The sequence below is a fragment of the Homo sapiens genome, chromosome 14 (genome assembly GCF_000001405.40).
Source record: "Homo sapiens chromosome 14, GRCh38.p14 Primary Assembly".
NCBI classification, from domain to species: Eukaryota; Metazoa; Chordata; class Mammalia; order Primates; family Hominidae; genus Homo; species Homo sapiens.
In genome coordinates this window covers 68936277-68954511 of record NC_000014.9, presented here as the reverse complement: position 1 = coordinate 68954511, position 18235 = coordinate 68936277, and the positions used below count along the sequence as shown (strand labels likewise).

The 18235-nt window shown below is 50.9% G+C and overlaps 1 protein-coding gene and 1 pseudogene across 24 annotated transcripts in view, besides 14 other annotated features; one reads left to right on the top strand and one right to left on the bottom strand.

Annotated features, from left to right (window-relative positions):
* Positions 1–18235, top strand: part of ACTN1 (actinin alpha 1) — a 105175-nt gene that overhangs the window by 24791 nt on the left and 62149 nt on the right. The window contains exon 1 of one of the 24 annotated variants that reach the window (NM_001411036.1): positions 16561–16714. The exons of 22 other annotated variants lie outside the window; for them this stretch is intronic. Coding sequence is in view for 1 of the 2 variants with exons in the window: in NM_001424015.1 (NP_001410944.1) it covers positions 17349–17540 (192 nt within the window). In the remaining variant the exon portion in view is untranslated. Of the gene's footprint in view, positions 1–16560; positions 17541–18235 lie in introns of those variants that run through there. One more of the 24 variants, NM_001424015.1, reaches the window with a different exon arrangement.
* Positions 1427–2284: an enhancer, noted in NCBI's record as "H3K27ac-H3K4me1 hESC enhancer chr14:69418945-69419802 (GRCh37/hg19 assembly coordinates)". NCBI's record gives its function as "activates a minimal SCP1, AML or CMV promoter by ChIP-STARR-seq in naive H9 embryonic stem cells {active_cell/tissue: H9 hESC(naive)}" and the evidence as "EXISTENCE:reporter gene assay evidence [ECO:0000049][PMID:30033119]".
* Positions 2285–3140: an enhancer, noted in NCBI's record as "H3K27ac-H3K4me1 hESC enhancer chr14:69418089-69418944 (GRCh37/hg19 assembly coordinates)". NCBI's record gives its function as "activates a minimal SCP1, AML or CMV promoter by ChIP-STARR-seq in naive and primed H9 embryonic stem cells {active_cell/tissue: H9 hESC(naive and primed)}" and the evidence as "EXISTENCE:reporter gene assay evidence [ECO:0000049][PMID:30033119]".
* Positions 2285–4017: a biological region, named in NCBI's record as "P300/CBP strongly-dependent group 1 enhancer GRCh37_chr14:69417212-69418411".
* Positions 2818–4017: an enhancer, noted in NCBI's record as "P300/CBP strongly-dependent group 1 enhancer chr14:69417212-69418411 (GRCh37/hg19 assembly coordinates)". NCBI's record gives its function as "activates an origin of replication core promoter dependent on BRD2, BRD4, P300/CBP, MED14 and CDK7 cofactors, with strong dependence on P300/CBP, by STARR-seq in HCT116 cells {active_cell/tissue: HCT116}" and the evidence as "EXISTENCE:reporter gene assay evidence [ECO:0000049][PMID:35650434]".
* Positions 3141–3998: an enhancer, noted in NCBI's record as "H3K27ac-H3K4me1 hESC enhancer chr14:69417231-69418088 (GRCh37/hg19 assembly coordinates)". NCBI's record gives its function as "activates a minimal SCP1, AML or CMV promoter by ChIP-STARR-seq in primed H9 embryonic stem cells {active_cell/tissue: H9 hESC(primed)}" and the evidence as "EXISTENCE:reporter gene assay evidence [ECO:0000049][PMID:30033119]".
* Positions 5875–6423: an enhancer, noted in NCBI's record as "H3K27ac-H3K4me1 hESC enhancer chr14:69414806-69415354 (GRCh37/hg19 assembly coordinates)". NCBI's record gives its function as "activates a minimal SCP1, AML or CMV promoter by ChIP-STARR-seq in primed H9 embryonic stem cells {active_cell/tissue: H9 hESC(primed)}" and the evidence as "EXISTENCE:reporter gene assay evidence [ECO:0000049][PMID:30033119]".
* Positions 11403–12192: an enhancer, noted in NCBI's record as "H3K27ac-H3K4me1 hESC enhancer chr14:69409037-69409826 (GRCh37/hg19 assembly coordinates)". NCBI's record gives its function as "activates a minimal SCP1, AML or CMV promoter by ChIP-STARR-seq in naive H9 embryonic stem cells {active_cell/tissue: H9 hESC(naive)}" and the evidence as "EXISTENCE:reporter gene assay evidence [ECO:0000049][PMID:30033119]".
* Positions 12193–12983: an enhancer, noted in NCBI's record as "H3K27ac-H3K4me1 hESC enhancer chr14:69408246-69409036 (GRCh37/hg19 assembly coordinates)". NCBI's record gives its function as "activates a minimal SCP1, AML or CMV promoter by ChIP-STARR-seq in naive H9 embryonic stem cells {active_cell/tissue: H9 hESC(naive)}" and the evidence as "EXISTENCE:reporter gene assay evidence [ECO:0000049][PMID:30033119]".
* Positions 14503–15336: an enhancer, noted in NCBI's record as "H3K27ac-H3K4me1 hESC enhancer chr14:69405893-69406726 (GRCh37/hg19 assembly coordinates)". NCBI's record gives its function as "activates a minimal SCP1, AML or CMV promoter by ChIP-STARR-seq in naive H9 embryonic stem cells {active_cell/tissue: H9 hESC(naive)}" and the evidence as "EXISTENCE:reporter gene assay evidence [ECO:0000049][PMID:30033119]".
* Positions 15337–16170: an enhancer, noted in NCBI's record as "NANOG-H3K27ac-H3K4me1 hESC enhancer chr14:69405059-69405892 (GRCh37/hg19 assembly coordinates)". NCBI's record gives its function as "activates a minimal SCP1, AML or CMV promoter by ChIP-STARR-seq in primed H9 embryonic stem cells {active_cell/tissue: H9 hESC(primed)}" and the evidence as "EXISTENCE:reporter gene assay evidence [ECO:0000049][PMID:30033119]".
* Positions 15546–15840: a silencer, noted in NCBI's record as "tiled region #9851; K562 Repressive non-DNase unmatched - State 23:Low". NCBI's record gives its function as "represses a minimal TATA promoter and a strong SV40 promoter by Sharpr-MPRA in K562 cells {active_cell/tissue: K562}" and the evidence as "EXISTENCE:reporter gene assay evidence [ECO:0000049][PMID:27701403]".
* Positions 15546–15840: an enhancer, noted in NCBI's record as "tiled region #9851; HepG2 Activating DNase matched - State 1:Tss". NCBI's record gives its function as "activates a minimal TATA promoter and a strong SV40 promoter by Sharpr-MPRA in HepG2 cells {active_cell/tissue: HepG2}" and the evidence as "EXISTENCE:reporter gene assay evidence [ECO:0000049][PMID:27701403]".
* Positions 15623–15767: an enhancer, noted in NCBI's record as "145 bp enhancer 116 fragment used in the MPRA reporter construct; PK_construct_135". NCBI's record gives its function as "activates an SV40 promoter by MPRA in HepG2 cells {active_cell/tissue: HepG2}" and the evidence as "EXISTENCE:reporter gene assay evidence [ECO:0000049][PMID:23512712]".
* Positions 15689–15702: a transcriptional cis regulatory region, noted in NCBI's record as "HNF1 motif; MPRA enhancer 116 activity is reduced when this motif is scrambled". NCBI's record gives its function as "necessary for full MPRA enhancer 116 activity {active_cell/tissue: HepG2}" and the evidence as "EXISTENCE:site-directed mutagenesis evidence [ECO:0005528][PMID:23512712]".
* BANF1P1 (BANF1 pseudogene 1) lies at positions 17277–17965 on the bottom strand (annotated as a pseudogene).

Below are 18235 nucleotides of genomic sequence, written 5' to 3'. Positions count from 1 at the left end.
TACTAAAAATACAAAAATTAGCTCGGTTCGGTGGCGGGTGCCTGTAATCCCAGCTACTCGGGAGGCTGAGGCAGGAGAACCTCTTGAAACTGGAAGGCGGAGGTTGCAGTGAGCCAAGATTGCACCACTGCACTCCAGCTTGGGTGAAAAGAGTGAAACTCCATTTCAGAATAAATAAATAAATAAATAAATAAATTCTCTGTGTGTAACAGCAAAACTGGGGGAAAAAAGTGCTTCCATATCTAACTAACCCTGGGGAAGGAATTTAACAAACTATCCATCCTGATACATCATGGTGGTGTAGTATTTTTGCAGCCTTTAAAAATGATAATTAGGAAGATTATACAGGAATAAAATATTCAACAGACTGTTGAAAGTCGGAGAACACTAAAGAGTAATACATTATAATTGATCGTACTGTAAATAAGGAAGATAGTGTAGTAAGTAGTGTAAATAAGGAAGATAATATGTAAAAATACAAATGGCTATGTTAAGGCTAGAGGATTCATTATTTTAAAAAATTAGTATTTAAATTTTATGGCAAGTCAGAGAATTTCTATCTGAAGCATCATTCCTCTTCAAATATTTTTCTACTATCACTTGTCCCTTTTCTTTTTTTTTTTTTTGAGACAGAGTCTTGCTGTGTCGCCCAGGCTGGAGTGCAGTGGCGCGATCTTGGCTCACTGCAACTCCACCTCCTGGGTTTAGGTGATTCTTCTGCCTCAGCCTCCCGAGTAGCTGGGAGTACAGGCGCATGCCACCACGCCTAGCTAATTTTTTTTTTTTTTTGTATTTTTAGTAGAGATGGGGTTTCACCATATTGGCCAGGCTGGTCTGGAACTCCTGACCTCATGATCTGCCTGCCTCGGCCTCCCAAAGTGCTGGGATTACAGGCGTGAGCCACCGTGCCTGGTCACTTGTCCCTTTTCTTAAGGAGTCATGGCAACTGGGTGAGATTGAATGACCCACTTTGAGCATCTTTAGTGTGTGTTGTGCACTGCCAGGCTCTGCGGAGTACGCACAGTGTAAGATGTGGTCCTCTGAGCTTAAGGGCAGAGGATATGTGTCTTTGCTGGGGAGATAAGATGTCCCTGTGCTGGGCACGCTGATTAGTGCTGAGGCTGATGCATGGCTCAGGCATGGAGTGGGGGACATGGAGGCTGAGGGTAGGGAGTGGGTGGAGTGGTTTGGGCCTTTAGCTGGGGCTGGAAGAAGGACCAGGAGAGCTTTCAGGACAGGGAAACAACCAGCCCGGCATTGGGGAAACCTAGGAAGACCAGGAGAGTTGAGTTTGCCTAAGAGGGATTTTCAGATCATCACAGCTGTGAGTGAGCTCAGAGTTAAATAAGATGTCTGTTATTCACCCTGTTTTCTAGAGATTGGAAACTGAAGTCCAGGAAATAAGCTCTTCCAGGAATCTCCAGAGTCCCCTGGGGACAGGGGTGGGTGCGCAGGCTGACTCCCTGTGGGTTGGCTGCGTTCCAGTGGCAGATGCCCCTAGGGATGGGAAATCATCCCCCCGACCCTCTCAGGAAACCCTTTCCATCCCTTCTGGGTTGGTGGCGTCACTGGTGGTGGAGGATCAGCATTCCTTCTCCTTTCAAATCTGCCCGTGCCCTGCTTGGGTGTCAGGCCCTCCTGGGGGCTGCTCCATCCACACTTTCCATTTGGGGGACTTTGACATTTTGTTTAAGTGGAGATGTGATTGAGAGTGTGTGAGGGTGAGAACCGGAGGCTCTGGCTCTTTAAGGCTCGGCCTTCAAGTGAGGTTTGGCAGAGAAGATACTGAACGTTTAATTTTAGGGCCAAGGTAGGGGGTGGGGGAAAGTCCCTACCGCATCTGGTTTGTGTTAAGCCTGTGCCTTCAGAAAAGGGCTGTGTTTATGGTTAAAATCCAGCAGGGATGGGGGGTGGGCGGGATGCCGCTTTCCCCTACTAGGCATTGCGGCACAGGGACAGGGCACATATCTACCTTCCTTCTCATTCTTTGACCCCATCCCAAGCCCGACAGTTACAACTTGGAGAAAACTGCATGTGACATCCATTTTATCTCTGCAGTTAAAGCCAGATGTTTGCTTTCAGGCAGCCTCCAGCAGCTGGACTTTGCCAGGCTGAAGCTGTATTCTTTGTGCCCCAGAACTCCCTGCCGTTGGCCGCCTGTCACTTCGACCTGTCTGCAGCCCGCAGGGTCCCGGGTGGGTCATTGCTGCTGCGGAGTCCAAGCTGGGGCCTGTCAGAAGCTGCCCAGGGCTGGCCTCCAGCAGGCCTCCCTCTGGCGATCCCAGGATTGAGAAGTTGAGTCAATCCCTAGGATGTCTAGACTACCAGCGCTGGAAGGTCCCACAGAAACCAGAGCCAGCCCCCTCTGTCAGATAAAGAAACTGAGGCCCGGAAAGCTGGAGACTGAACCAGACCTCCCTCAGCTCTCAGCTTGGCTCACTGCTCTTTTGCCAGCTTCATGTGGCTTCCCTTTTGGCTACTGTTTGTTTTGCTCTTCCATGCTCTACTCCCTTAAAGGGCCGGCCCTGGGGACAGGGAGTAGGGTGAAAGATCTTCAGACCCAATGGGAAGTTCACAAGGCTGCGCTTGTTCACTGCTGTTTGCCAGCATTAGTATAGTACCTGGCACAGGGTAAGAGTTTAGAAAATCTTGAATGAATGAACGAACGAATGAATGAGTGAATGAATGATGGGGTTACTTGGCCTGAGGGTGGGGACACTGGTGCTGCACTTAGAGCCATTACTTCTGGGAGGGGTACCAGGCACGAGTCTCCACACCCAAAGCTCTCCCTGTTCCAAGACCACGTCCAGTCTTCTCCAGGCCTTCCTCAGTCCCAGCCCATCACCCGGCTTTTACAGGAGCCTGGAGTTTCAGAGCTGAAAGGGGCCTTGGATATCAAATGTTGCATCACCTTCACGTTAGAGTTGGGGAAACGGAGTCAAGGGCACACAGCTAGTCAGCGGGAACGTCAGGACCAGAGCCCAAGTCTGTGGGGTTGCAGAGCTTCCATGCATCCCTCCTTGGGCATTTATGTTGGGAGTTGAGGTTAGAAAGAGAAGGCCCTGTCTTGTCCATTGTGCCTCCCCTTTTCTGTATCTTCCTCTGTGGGATGAGCTGTTTCCTCTTTCTCTCCCTCCTCACTCTGGCTTCCTCTCCTGTAGTGGAGGACGGTGGGGTGGTTTCTCCATAACAGTCTGAGTAAAAAGGCTGGGCCCCTGGGATTGGGCCAAGTCATTCCCTTGTGTCTTCCTAGAAAGGGAAAAAGAGAGTCGGCTGGCTCACTTCCTTCCGGGGAAACCAGCGCCTGAGTCACCCTGGAGTCAGGGCCCAGGGAGGAGCCTGCCCGTCACCCCGTTGCCTCTGGCCATGGGTGGCGCTTCCCTGCCACTGTTTCTCAAAGGGCGGGGGGCCAGGGAAGGCCTGTGCTATCCAGCTGCCCTGCCGTTCGTCTGCCTTCGTCGCTTCTTGGGAGAGTTTCTTGGCCTTCTGCAGGCAGGCTGGTGCTGGTGGCAAGGAGGGCAGGCAGGTGATAACATTGCCCCCCTCTAACTGGAGGTCTTAAACACCCTCCTGAATCACAATTTGAAATGTTTTTGATTTACAAGTCTTCAATATCTGTTTTGTTTTATGATAAAAGTTTGACATGCTTAGGGCCGGACGTGGTGGCTCATGCCTGTAATCCCAGCACTTTGGGAGGCCAAGGCAGCCAGATCACAAGGTCAGTAGATCCAGACCATCCTGGCTAACACAGTGAAACCATGTCTCTACTAAAAATACAAAAAATTAGCCAGGCGTGGTGGCGGGTGCTTGTAGTCCCAGCTACTTGGGAGGCTGAGGCAGGAGAATGGTGTGAACCAGGGAGGCGGAGCTTGCAGTGAGCCGAGATCATACCACTGCATTCCAGACTGGGCGACAGAGTGAGACTCCGTCTCAAAAAAAAAAAAAAGTTTGACATGCTTGTGGTAAAATAAAAAACAACTCCCCACAGGTAACACTGTTATTTTTCTATACCACAGATTTTATATGTTTGATTTATATATATATATATACACACACGCATATATATTATGGTAAAAGATACATAATATGATATTTACCATTTTAGCCATTTTGAAGTGTACGTACAGTTCAGCAGCATTAAGTACATGTATGTTGTTGCGTAACCATCACCAGCATCCATCTCCTGAACTCTTTTTTTTTTTTTTTTTTTTTTTTTTGAGACAACAACTCACTCTGTCACCCAGACTGGGAGTACAGTGGCACAATCTCAGCTTACTGCAACCTCCTCCTCTCGGGTTCAAGTGATTCTTCTGCCTCAGCCTCCCCAGTAGCTGGGATTACAGGCACCTGCCACTATGCCTGGCTAGTTTTTGTATTTTCAGTAGAAACGGGGTTTCATTATGTTGGCTAGGCTGGTCTCGAACTCCTGACCTTGTGATCCGCCCACCTCAGCCTCCCAAAGTGCTGGGATTACAGGTGTGAGCCGCAGCGCCCAGCCCCATCTTCTGAACTCTTTTCATCTTGTAAAACTGAAACTCTGTACCCATGAACAATTCCTGACCCCCAGTCCTGATAATTCCATTCTACTTTCTGCCTCTATGAATTTGACTACTCTAGGGGCCCCATGTAAGTGGAATCATATAGCATTTATTCTTTTGTGTCTGGGTTATTTTCACTTAGCAGAATGTCTTGAAGGTTGGTCCATGTTGCAGCATGTGTCAGAATTTCCTCCCTTTTTAAGGCTGAATCATAGTCCATTGTATGTATGACCATGTTTGGTTTCTCCGTTCATCTGTTGATGGACATTTGGGTTGTTCCCCCCTTTTGGCCGTTGTGAACAGTGCTGCTGTGAATGTGGGTGTACAAATACCTGTTTGAGTCCTTGCATTTAATTTTTTTGTGTATATGCTCAGAAAGTAGTACTGCTATATTTTATGCTGTTACTGGTTGTGCTTCTCAGGCACCTTGGGTCCCCTGGGCAGTGTTGACAGGTCAGCAGAGGGCTTTGGATACCACCCCTTCCCCCTGCCAGCGCCAGGCCTGCCACAGTAGCTGTCTGCAGAGGCTAGGGCTGGCCTGGCCATTTGGGTCCCCGAGGGCACACTGTGGAGCTGCAGAGCTAATGAAAAGTTTTGGAATCTTGTGGTGCAGAAGGGCCTTTTTGGGCCAGGTCCCCACCCTTCCTTCCTCCTGACCTCCTCGTGTTTTGGACTTGGGGAAGGGGGATGCAGCTTCTGGGAGCCCTGGGGAGGCACGGGGACCCCGAGCTTACTTTGGGACCTAGAGGCCCATTCTTCTTATGACCTCCCCCACCCCTGCCTCCAGTTCTTCCTGTCCTGGGCTGTTTTTCTCTCCGAGGCTCTCCCAGAGGGTTAGTGTGAAAAAGATTTTTGGCCCGTTAATTACAGAGACTAATGCAAAACTTCCTAGCTTCCTTTGGAGGAAAATTCTATTTCTTGCTAACAGAGCAGGAGCTCCTGTCCTGATGCCTGCTTTCACCAAGTTGGGCCCCAGAGCAGCTCCTCGCTAGAGCCCTGTGCACAGCTGACTGGTCTCTGTGGGCTCACTGGTTCGAGCTTCATTATGAGCTGCTTTGACCCCCTGGCAGAGATCTGCACGTGGCTGTCTTTTGGGTGCCCCGTGCGCCTCAGGAGGCAGTGTGTCTGTTCTGTCAGCTAGATCACAGCTCTCTGAGAGCAGAGCTGCTGGTTGTTTTTCTTTGTGGCCTGGTAGTGGCTGGTCTGGTAGCCTGTACTTCCTGGATGCCCAGTTACAGAGAAAGAGAGGCCATGAAAATAATTTGGGATTTGGCATTGGAGAACTCCTGGCTTTTGGTTTGGGGCCTGCTCTTTGCTAGCCGGCTTACTTAACCCTCTCGAGCCTGTTTTTCCGTCTCTAAAATAGGGATCAGAAAACCTTACTTCTTTTTTTTTTAAGATGGAGTCTTGCTGTTTTGCCCAGGCTGGAGTGCAGCGGTGCAATCTCGGCTCACTGCAACCTCTGCCTCCCGGGTTCAAGCCATTCTCCTGCCTCAGCCTCCCAAGTAGCTGGGATTACAGGCGCTCGCCACCATGCCCGGCTAATTTTTGTATTTTTAGTAGAGACGGGGGTTCCACCATGTTGGTCAGGCTGGTCTTGGACTCCTGACCTCAGGTGATCCACCCACCTTGGCCTTCCAAAGTGCTGGGATTATAGGCGTGAGCCCACCGCACCCAGCCAGAAAACCCTACTTCTTAATAAGCTTGTTGTGAAGAGTAAATGGGGTCATTGTTATAAAGTGCGTAGGTAAGTGTCAGTGAATGTCAGCTTTTGTCACCGTTGTGCCTCTGCTAAGTGGAAGGGCCTGGGGGGGACTCCCTGCAGAAGGCCAACTTCCTAGGACCTCTGTGTGCTTTCTGTCCATCCAAGCCCTACTCCCCTGGGAGAGGCTGCGTGTGAGGTTGTCTGGTTGGGTGGCAGCAGCTTCCCCTGCAGAAGGAAACTGCTTCCTCCCCAGGGAGATGGGAGTTGCTAAACTCTGGCTTGGGCCGGCTGTGTGCTCTAAGCAGGGATTATGTGCGTGTGTGATGAGGGCGGTGCCTTGGGCTTCATTCCAGATACACCGTGTTCTCTGACCTCGCACTCCCTTCCTTGGAGCCCCTCACTCCAGCACCAGGCATTGTGGCTCAGAACTCCCACTGCTCCGGATTGCTATTTGACAGTTTCATAGGTGGGTCCTACTTCCCTTTTTAGATGATAGGCTCCAGGACCTCCATATTCCTCATATTTGGGGACAGAAAATAAGAGCTTCTCTTTCCATGCAGTAGGATGCCCCTTTCTCCTGTGGGATGATTGGGACCGGCCTGTCCAGGCTTGGGGGAGGGAATAGGAACGGGAACCCTGCTTGGAGCTGCATTCTGTGTTCGGCCCCTCCCTGCAGAAGACTTCACCTTGCAGAGACTGCAGAGTGTTAGGGAGAACCCAGCTTTGGAGCCAGCAGCACTGGTGTGGAGGCAAGCTCTGCTGTCTGACTTGCTGTGTCCTTGAGCTGGTCCTTATTCTGAGCCTCAGTTTCTTCCTCTGTAAAAAGACAATCTGTCTTGCAGAGTTGTTGCCGAGACTAAATGAGATGATGGATGTAAACCACCCAAGCTGGCATCCCATACCTGGTAGGCTCCCTAAGTGTGTTGTTATTTTGTGTGTGGATGGGCCAAGGGGTGCTTTTAGCGAACCATTCTTCTCCACACAGAGGTGTGGTGAGACAGACTTCCTATATACATTTCTGTAGCCCAGAGTTGCCCAAACTTGCCTGATTATAGGATTCACATGGAGTACTTGTTACTTGTTAAAATACCAATCTGTGAGTCCCATCCCAGAACTCCTGAACCAGAATGGTGGTTGTTGGGGTGAGGGGTCTCTACTTTTAACCTTTTTTATAATCGGGCCAGTCTGGGAAATGCCGTTTCCCTCAGATTGCTCTGCCAGTTGCTGTGTCATTCCATCTTCACGGGGGCCCATTGGAATGAGACAAGTATGGCCCCTTGGAAAGTGGGAGACTTTGCAGGTGAGACTGAAGCTTGAAGGGGCTGGCCTGAGGCCCTGAGCTCCTTGTGGTGGAAGCAGATTTAGAACTGAGATCTCCCAGTGATGTGTGTCCATTGTGCCTGCAAACATTCCACTAAAGCATGGAAAAGGTGAAGGTGGGGATGGAGAGAGATGGAGTGACAGGAAGGAGGTGAGGGCTGAGGGCCTCCATGATGGCCTTGGGAACCTGCAGAGACTAAGTGGGGGATGGATGGTGGGACAGAGCCCTGAGCCCCACTAGGATGCTTCCCCAGGTGTGCCTTCTGAAAACCAGGGCCCCAGTGAGCATGTGGGGCCTTGGGCTTCTTAGAACCACTGGGAATCCACAGGTGTCAGAGCGTAGGCGCGGTCTTAGGCAGCATGGACCCAGCGGGAGGGGCTGGGACTCCTCCTCAGGGCTGCTGGTGGAGTCCTGGAAGTCCTGTGGGTAGGACTTCTGCCACTTCTCCCCTCTTCCTCTGCCTTTTTTATTGGGCTGGGAAGTTTTCTAGAAGCACAGGCAGGGCTGGCTCCCTTGTTCAGATAGGGAAGTTGAGGAATAGGTATTTCCAGGGTCAGCTGATGATGCCAGGAACTGGGGTCCCACTGCCTTGTCTGCTTCCTCCTTCTCAAAGTTGGCCTGGTCCATTAGAGAAAACCCCTTTTAGGTCCTTACTATGTCATCCTTTCCAGTTTACCCTTAAGAGGCCCTTAAGGAGGATTTCAACCTCTGCTGGGCCCCACCCCCAGAGGGTGACTTGATTGGTGGTGGTGAGGTGGGCTGGTGGGCTGGTGGGCTGTGAGCGGAGGGGCCCTGTTACGGACAGTTGTGAGAGTGTGGCCGGGGCACGGTGACCTGCTGCCAGGCCCTGGGGAGAGTCACGCTGACTGAGCCTGTGGTTGAAAGTGTGTGACTGCCACCGCGGGTGGAATTCTGGCTCCTGCATCTACTGTTCGCTGTGACCTTGAGTGGCTGTGAGCTCTTGGCCTCGGTTTTCTCATCTGTAAAATGAGATGCCTTCTGGGGTGGTTAAGATTGATTGGGTTGACACTGGTAGAACACTTGGGGCAGTGGGTTGGGAGTGACATCCTGATCTCTGAAGCTCTTCCACTCAGACCTTTCAATTAGATCTGCAGCCTCAGGACTTTGGACCTTTGGGGACTGCTGTGAACAGCGAGCTGCCCCAGGTGTCTGGGCAGGCAGGGAGTATGGGTGCAAAGCTGTGGCCTCTCTGCCTGTTCCTCCTTCTGTTGGCTCAGGTCTGAAAATCTGGGTGTGGCCTCTGCCCCTCCTCCCCGTCTCTCCTGAGTATCTCTTGTATCCACCTGCTTCTCCCTCTCCTACACTGCCACCCTGGACTGGCTCCCTTTGTCTCTGGCTGGGACCTTTTCGTGATCTTGTGCTTGGTCTCTTTTCAGCCACTCTTTTCCATCTCTGATCTGCCCTTCCCATGGCATTTAGAGGTCTCTTTCTAAGATGCAGGTGGAATTATGTAACCAGCATCTGATTGGCACTCCCAGCCCAACTCAGCCCGCCACAGCCCCATTTGTTTCTTTCAGCTAAAATAAAATGTCTTCGGTGACTTCCACTGCTCTCAGGAGAAACAACAGCTGCAGGAACCCGAACACCCATGTGGCTAGTTGATCTCCAGTCTCTGGCACCCTCTTCTTCCCTCCTGCACTGTGACTTTTTTTTTTTCAGTTTTTTGAACAGACCTTACTCTCTTTTCTCTGGGGCCTTTGCTGTTTGTTTGTTTTCTTCTTCTTCTTCTTTTCTTTCTTTCTTTCTTTCTTTTTTTTTTTTTTGAACCGGAGTCTTACTCTGTTGCCCAGGCTGGAGTGTAGTGGTGCAATAGGCTCACTGCAACCTCCGCCTCCTGGGTTCAAGCGATTCTCCTACCTTAGCCTTTTGAGTAGCTGGGATTATGGGCACGTGCCACCACACCCAGCTAATTTTGTATTTTTAGTAGAGACAGGGTTTCACCATGTTGCCCAGCCCCACACACGCGTAGGGTGACCTACAGCTACCTGCTCCACACACGCATAGGGTGACCTACAGCTACCTGACCCACACACGCATAGGGTGACCTACAGCTACCCGCCCCACACACGTGTAGGGTGACCTACAGCTCTGCCTATACCTGTTATGCTGGTGTAATTATTAGTAGACCCCCTGGTGCCTTGGTTTGGATGACAGGTTATGTGGGCCCCCTTCACATTTACGAACTTTTCATCTAATACTCCCCAGCCTTATAGATTCACTGACTCCCTTGGGGCAGTGATCAGACACACTGCCCCCCTACAGCCCCCCAGGATCAGTTCAGGGTCCTGTTTTAGCCTTATGCCTTCCAGGACCTTTCCTATAGGCACTGGATCTTAGTGTACAAAAATACACGCATTGATAAAATCTTTGCTTATTGTTTGTCTTCTCCATTAGACTGCAGGCTCCATGACTTAGGACAGTGCCTGTATTTGCCCACGATGTAACCCTAGTCCCTGATACAGAATGAGTGCTCAGTAAGAATTTATGGAAGGAAGGAATGAATGAATCTGGCTGCAGCTGTCTGGCAGGGGAGGCCTGGAGCCTGGGCGAGTCTGTAGAATCTGCAGTGGCCTGCGTGAGGGAGGCTGCCAACATCGGGCCAGTCCAAGCCCTAGCAAGCCAGTTGCCCACACTCTGGCACACATCATCGGCTTGGTGGCCCCTTTAATTATTCATCGGTCTTTCTCAATGGCCTTTGTGTTCAGAAACCCAAGACAGAATTCAAACCCTCTTTCCATCTCCCTAAAACTGAGACCTGGAAGAAAAACCTGCTGGCCCATTCTGCATCCCCAGGGGGCCAGCAGGTCCACAGCCTCCTCTCGTGGCTGGCTTTAAGCGTTGAAGTGTCCTGGGCTGCCCTGTGGCTCTCCTCCCCAGTCCACTGGGCTCAGGGACTGCCTGGGCACAGCTGAGTGGGTGCCCGTGTGGCTTGAGACTGAGCAGGGACTGGTGCAGGCTGGTGGGCAGAGCTGGATGAGTCCCCATCATTCCCCAGCCTGAACGGAGTCTGAAGGCTGGCCTGGAAGAGTTTAGCCTCCCAGCAGAGTGGAGCAGGCTCAGGCTTTGACCGACCTAGTTCACACCTCAGTTCTGCCTCTTGCCAGCTGTGTGACTGTGGGGAACTGGCCCTTGGTGTCCTGTTCCTTTGTTCCTTTAACCTAGAATTGTTGAGTGGACTTGCTGAGATGGCGCATGCCTCGTGGGTGATGATAACAGTGAGTGAGCACTCACTGAGGGTTATAATGGTAGCCAACATCTTTGAGCAACCCTAGGATATGATTCCCTCTCCTTCCCTCACCTCCCCTTGGGGCTCCCTGAAGTCCACGTTGCCATCAGTGTCCCCATCTTGAAACTGAGGATGGAACGCTGATCTTTCCTTTCAAGGTTGGGGGGAGGGGGCTGGGGAGCCGAAAGCACCCCAGGGCTGCCCTTGCTGCAGTGTCTGAAGTGAAGCCTAGGAGCCCCGGTGCTGGTGGGCAACAGCAGGCGTGGATCTCTCTGATCTTTGAAGAGGACTGTGAATACACTGACCACAGGCGGAAGCCCCTTGTCCCGTCCTGCCCTGCACTACCCAGAGGTCCCTGGGCTTCTCAGCAGAGGTGGACAGATCTGCTTGCAGCTGCCCTTCTTCCCACGCTTCTGGAAATGGAAGTTCCCACAGACACATTCCTGTTCCTCAGCTTGCTGCTCCCTGCTTGCTGATACCTTGCCGCCCTGTCCCTCAAACCGGGCTGGCCATACCAAGGTGTTGGCGAGCTGCTCAGCCTGCTGAGCTGTTGACACCCCAGACCACCGCCGGCCTAGTGGACAGGCCAGGAAGGCAGTGATGGCACTGGGTCACATTGTCCTGGGCCTGGGTGAGGGTTTCTGTGCTGCTTTTTAATGTGCTGATCTGTGTGTTTGTGTTTTGGGAGAAGAAACTTTGTGTTGCGGAACCTCAGGTGAAGAGAATTGAGGTCGTTAGGCTCCTCCGTCATGGCCCAGTGTCATCTCGGGGCCATGCAAGGCCTCTGTGTGTCCGTCACATTTTATCCTACAATCTCCTGTGATGGATATGCAGATTGTCCCCAGCTGCTCTCCTGCTGACACAAATGAGGCAACGATGAACATTCTCCCATACATCCCAGTGCAGCTGTGTGAGGATTGCATTGAGCAGGGAATTGCTGGGTTGCAGGGAATTTCCTGATACGCTGCTGAGTTACCCCCTAAAATGGCTGTACAGTCTACTCTCCACCAGCCGGGCACGAGGGCTTCCGGATCCCTCAACCCCACCAACATTCGGCGTAATCAACTTTCTAATTGTTTGCCTGTCTATTAGGTGTAAAGAGATGCATTTTAGTTTTGAGCTGCAGCTGAAGAGGAACTCTCCTCCAAGTGCCAAGACTGCTCCCCTCCTCCAGTCAGCTCTCTTGGAACCAGAAACTTCCTCCTGGGTGGTGTTGAGAATCATGGTGATGCTCTGCAGAAAACCTCTCCTCTGTAAGGAGTGGCAGTTTATAGATACAGCCCGTTAATGCCTCAGTCCCTGCAGGAAGTTCTTTTTTTTTTGAGCTGGGGTCTCACTGTCTCCCAGGTTGGAATGCAGTGGTATGATTATGGCTCACTGCAGCCTCGACCTCCCTGGGCTGGGGTGATCCTCCCACCTCAGCCTCCTGGGTAGCTGGAACTATAGGGGTGCACCATCATGCCTGGCTAACATTTTTAAATTTTTTGTAGAGACAGAGTTTTTTGCCTGTTGCGTAGGTTCCTGCAGGAAGTTCTGCTCCCTGGGAGTGTCTGCTCCAGTCCCACCCCGGGGGTGCAAATCACTGCTGTGACTTGTGGTGGCTTGTGATGCTTCCACAGTTGCTGAACTTGTTGCCTCATCCCCTGGTATCTCTGGCATCCTGCGGGCTTGGGTTTCCTGGAGCTTTGAGAATTCCTTTGCAAAGTCATGTGGCTGCTGCCGGGTGGTTGTCCCTCAGGGAGGAGGTGGGTGGCGCTGTGGCATTGGCTTGGAGTTTGGGCTGGATCAGTGCTGAGGTCCTATTGATCAAGTTTTGACTGAGTCAGAGAGGTTGGGGTGCAGTGCCTGCTGGATCCTGCTAGCCCAGATGAAGGAACACACTGGGTGCCAAGGTGTCCCCCATGATCCCTTGATGCTACCTGGGACCGTTTAGTAGACAAGGGCAATTCCATGGGTCCTGGAGTCGTTCTTTTTGTCTCATGCCTTTCCATGAGCACCCTTTCTCTTGTCTTTCTTGTACTTTAGTAATGAACTCTAGACACTATTAACTACTTAGGGTGTGCTGGGCTTTTTGCATAGATTATCTCATTGAAACTCCTTACCAAACCAGTTGAGAAAGGTATTATCCCTGTTTTACAGATGAGGAAACTGAGGCTCAGAAAGGTCAAGAACTTGCTTAGGTTCCAAGGTTAGTAAGTGGCAGACCCATATTGAACCCAGCTCTTCTGTGCCCAAATCCGTTCTTAGCCACTAAGCCTTGGTCCTCAGAGTGTGGTCTCTGGACCGGCAGCATCAGCATCACCTGGATACTTGTTAGAAATGCAGTTTCTCTGCCGGCCTAGAACTTTGGAATCAGAAACTGGCGGTGGGGCCCAGCAATCTGTATTTTAACAAGCCCTCCAGGTGATTCTGGTAAATGTTCAAGTTTACATATTCAAGTTTGAGAACCACCGCACTGAATTATCCTGCTGTTCTTTTTTCTATTTTTTCTGCCTGGCTTCTCCCCTTTTGTCATTGGGCCAGTCACTGTGAGCCCAGACTTTGAACCCTGGCTGCTCTTCAGGGGCTTCATGCCCCTTTTAAAGAGGTGCAGTAATTCGTCCTCTGGGGCCTCCACAGGAACCCCTCCCAAGTCCCCAAAAGCAGTTGACAGAACTGATGCTCCAGCTGACAGCCTGGTGACCGGAACCACCATGGGGGTCAGAGTTCCCAGTCACTATGCCCAAGGAGGTGCTTTGAGGGGTCCGGGTGACCCAGGGGTGGACTGTGGGACAGACCAGGACAGAAGCTCCTGCTGGGAGATTATTTTAGGGGCACAGAAAGGAGACTTGGAAAACTTCCTTGTCCAAGCAGGATCTCTTTCTTTCTTGCAAATTTGTAATGATAAGTGGTTTGACCTTTGGAGAGGAGCTTCCACACAGGGGTTTGGAATCTAGGCAGGTCCTTGTTTCTGGTCAACAAGGCACATTCAGGAGAAATGACCCTGGGGAGAGGATAGAAGCTAATTTTTTTTTTTTTTTTTTAAGTAGAGACAGGGTCTTGCTATGTTGCCCAGGCTGGCCTTGATCTCCTGGCCTCAGGCAATCCTCCTGCCTCAGCCTCCCAAAGTGCTGGGATTGCTGGTGTGAGATACCAGAGCCAGCCTTATTTAATTTTTGAGCCCCTACCGTAAGTCTAGTTTTGTGCTATTTAATTCTTAGCCCAACCCCAGGAGGGGTGGATTTCATCATCCCATTCCACAGATAAGACCATGGAGGTTTCAAGCTGGAAGACTGAGGGTCATACCTCAACTACATGGAGGGGTCAAGTTAGGGGCCAGAGTCTGCCAGACCCCGGGTTCCCATATTGTATGAGTAGCAGGCTGGGCCAAATCCCTGTCAGCTGGGGGAGTTCTCTATGGAATTGAGTGACCCAGAGCTCTCAGCATCTGTGCCAAAAAAACCAAATGACCTCACTTTTGGTGGCTTTTCCTTCTTTGGGGAAGGAATGTGCTGGCCACTGCTGGGAGCTACAGCCTGCTGAGGCCTGTGTGCTCTCAGACCTGCAAGGGCCAGAATCAGACTCCAGACATGGGGGAGGGGTTACAGCAGGACCAAACTGTAACCCCGGAGGACCGGGGAGGAGGCTGTTCTCACACTGGCCTCCCGGAGCGGGTGCCACTCTGCTTCGAAGACCAGCTCCGCCCATTTAGTAATCCTCATCTCAGCAGGCTTACCAGCCACTGTTCAGTAGCTGAACTAGCTCAATTACATCAGTCCCCCGAGAGGGCTCTGGTCCAGGGCCTGTCTTTGAGCCTGGTTTCTTTCCAATGGGCCAAATGGGTTAAAAACAAAACCACGTCTTGATATAAAAGGCTTAGCGGGGTCCTGGAACATTTTAGTTTAAAAGAGAAATAACAGCTTTATTGAGATGTCATTCACATACCCATACAATTAACCCATTTATACAACTTCATGGTTTTTAGGATAGTCACATAAATGGGCAGCTATTTTTGCCATCAGTTTTGAACATTTTTATCACCTTAGAAAGATATTCTGTACCCCTTAGCTATCACCTCCCCCAACTCCTCCGTTCCCAGCCCTAAGAAACCACTAATCAAGCCGCTTTCGGTCTTCCTAGGTGCTTTTGTGTTTTAACATCTAGTGAGTGCTTGGTCTGCGTCTGGTAGCAGACTGAGCCCTTTGCACTAGCTCACATAGCCCTCCCTCGTGACTACTTTATGGGCTGCAGGCTCATTTTATCTTTATTTTATTATTACTATTTTCACCATCATCATTCTGGCCCACAGAAGTCTTTACTGATGTGAGAACCAAGGCTCCGGGAGGCCCAGTCGCAAGTACTGGACAGAGCTAGCTGGTGGCTGGCAGTTGGGGTGGGCTCTTGGGTCCCTGGGAGGGGTGAGGCTGTGGATGGTGACAGATTGGCTGAGGCAGTTGACTCTCATTGGCGAGGAGCTAAGAGGACAGACCTGTTTCTTCACTAGGATCGTGTGTCCACCTGTTTTAAAGTGGCTCTGATTTCTCCTGGGAGCCCATAGGTTCCACCTGTACCAGGCAAGAAGGAGCTGGGCAGTCTGCCTTCTGGGGGGCCTTGGATGGCAGGGAGGCCAGATCAGAGTCTCATGGTGGCCCAGGAGCCCTCTCAAGCACGGTGCCTTTGTTAGGCCTCCCAGAAAAAGCTGCAGGCCCCCTGCTTCTTGGCCCTGGTGACCCTCTGGGTGTCTGGTGCTATGTCTTTTGAAATGGGCTGTAGATGGGTGTAAACCAGGAAATGCAGGCTCCACTCCCCCCTCCCCATCTCCTCCTCTTGGCCAGAGGCCCGTCTCAGAGTTCTCTCATCAGTGGGGAAAAAAAACAACAGGACTTCTTTCTTGCTCTGTGAATGATTAACTTTGATTAAATAGACAGTGGATGGGAAGTGAGAGCATGCTGACCGCTGACATTGACTGGGCTCCTGATGTGTCCAGGGTATCTTGCTGGCTGTTTTGCTTCCATTGTCATAATCTTCACAAAGTGGTGATGTTCTTTATCCCCATTGTAAGGTGAGGCAATTGACACCTAGACAGTTTAACTAAAGCCACACAGCCAGTGAGTGGTGAGGACCTGCTGGGTTAACATTGTTTAAGTGTCTGTTGTGGACACAGCACCAGGCTAAGTCTTTCAGGACATAGGGTCTAATTTGGTCGTCTTTCATTCTGTGCCATTGTAGGCCTTGTTATCCCCATTTTACAGATAGGGATCCTGAGGCTAGGATTAAATCTCCTGTCCAAGCAGACAGATGTAATGTGAGGTGTGGGCTGGCACTGGAGCCTAGGTCTGTCTTGTTCCAAAGTCCAAGGTGCACCCCCAGTCCCCCCTACTCTGAATCTCCAGGACCCCAGCACTCACATGTCCTGGGGACAGGCTGTTAGAGCAGTGCCAGGTCTCAGCAGAGGCCTGGTGGTTGTCAGCTTTTTCAGCAGCCACTCCCAGGTGGGTGGGAAGTGGGCAGATCTGGGTGGAGATGTTCCCGAAGACTCTGCTTTTCATCAGCGCATGAACCAGCTGACGGCTGGCTTTGAAGGGCTGGCAGTCAGCCCCTGATAAGTTAGCCAGATACTCCTATTTACCATGCCAGAACACTGGGCATCTGAGATCACTTCTGGGCAGGTCTTTGCTTAGACAAACCACCCAGGGCCCACGCCCTGGCCAGACTGGCCATACTTGTATGGGGGTCAGAGGGATTCCAGCACGCCCCCTGGCTGCACCTCAGTAACGTCTTCAACATCAGTGGATGCTGCAGAGGACTCAACGCTGAGCACAGGTGCTGGCCTGGCCTTCTCCAAGGACCCTGCTGGTTCACACACCCCGCCCACACAGCAGGGGGCTGGCTTGGGCTGGCAGGGTGCTTGCCTGGGGAGGCTGGTGAGTTTGTTTTTGACTCGATGAGCCTAGACCAGAGTCCTGGGTGCTCTACTCAGGGAGAAGAACGACCATCAGACGAGAAGCTGGCTTGTATAGGAAGCTGTGTACCATTTTCAGGAAGTGTAGAAGCTCATTTGGGTGATTTCCTGGGGTCACTTGGCCAGAGCACAGCCCTTTATCTTACCCAGTTAGCAGTTTGCTGTCTTAATTATTGGGGAGATGTGTGTGATTGCTGGTGTATCCTCATGTCCTGCTCCCTAATTATGACTTTCTTTAAGATTTTACACTGATAAGGCACTTTAAAGTTCTTCAGAGCCTTTTCCCTATATTATATCTTATTTTATTCTCAAACTCATTCTTTTAAATAGATGGGATAATTTTTTCATTTTTTATCTTTATTTTGGAAACATCCTTTTTCCTCCTCCATAATACCTGAGCCTTGTCCCACCCTTGCCAAATAATCCCAGAGAAATGGGAAGTCCTCTCTATCCTATCCTAGAGGTCTGACATAACAATTAAATGTATATATTCCCAGACAGACTTTTCTTTTTTCTTTTTTTTTTGAAAACCACTAACTTTATTGATCTAAAAAACTTTACAAGGACAGTGACTGTTCTGCCAAAAAAGGAGCCAAATGGTATCAAATGGACTGCAAGTGAGGGTGGGGGTGAGAGACGGGGCCAGGAATCCATGCAGGAAAGCTGATAACTGTCACCAGGGAATTGGCAAGGGAAAAAGGAAGGAGGAGGCATACAAGAGCGAGAATCCAAAAAAGTTGAAATGGTTAGGGGAGAAAACTCTCAAAAGACCCTGGAGTACATCAGAGGTGAGTACAATAGCAATCTTTTCCTCTGTAGAGGACAGGGGAGGAGTCCCTTCATGGCTGCAAACTCTGGATGAGGGCTGGGGATTGAGGGCTTCCCAGAGAGCATCACAAGAAGTTGTCCTACCACTCTTAAAGGCATCAGAAGCAGTTCTGGGATTGCTTGGCGTTGGCACCACAAGTGTCCTTCAGCCATTCCTGGAAGAGGTCTTCAGTTTTCTTCAGCACCAGAAACTGGCCAAGGACAACATAGGCTTTGTCAAAGCCCCTTTCCTCCGGCTTCTTGCCCAGGACTTCACCCGGCCAGGCTCCCCACTGGCTCTTCCCCCATGGGCTCTGCCACGAACTCTCGGTGCTTTTGGAAGGTTGTCATCTTGATTAGGCCTAATCGGCAGCTTCAATTCCCGTAACAGTTCCTCCCGCCACCCCCTAGACAGACTGTTCTTTTATTTGCATACTTAAAAAAAAAAAAAAGGTAATGACAGCACATTTTGGTACAAAACTCAAACAAAAGCATATTCTGTGAAAAGCAAGTGTTCTCTACCCCCTGCCTTCCCATTTCTCTCCCTGGAGGCAGCCGATGATCCTGGTCCTTCTGTGTCCTGCTAGGAATGTTCTAGCATAAAGCTTTTAGATGCTGTCCGGGACACTAACGTCAGGATTCTGCTTGCTGAGAAGGGTTAGGAGCTGGCTGTCTT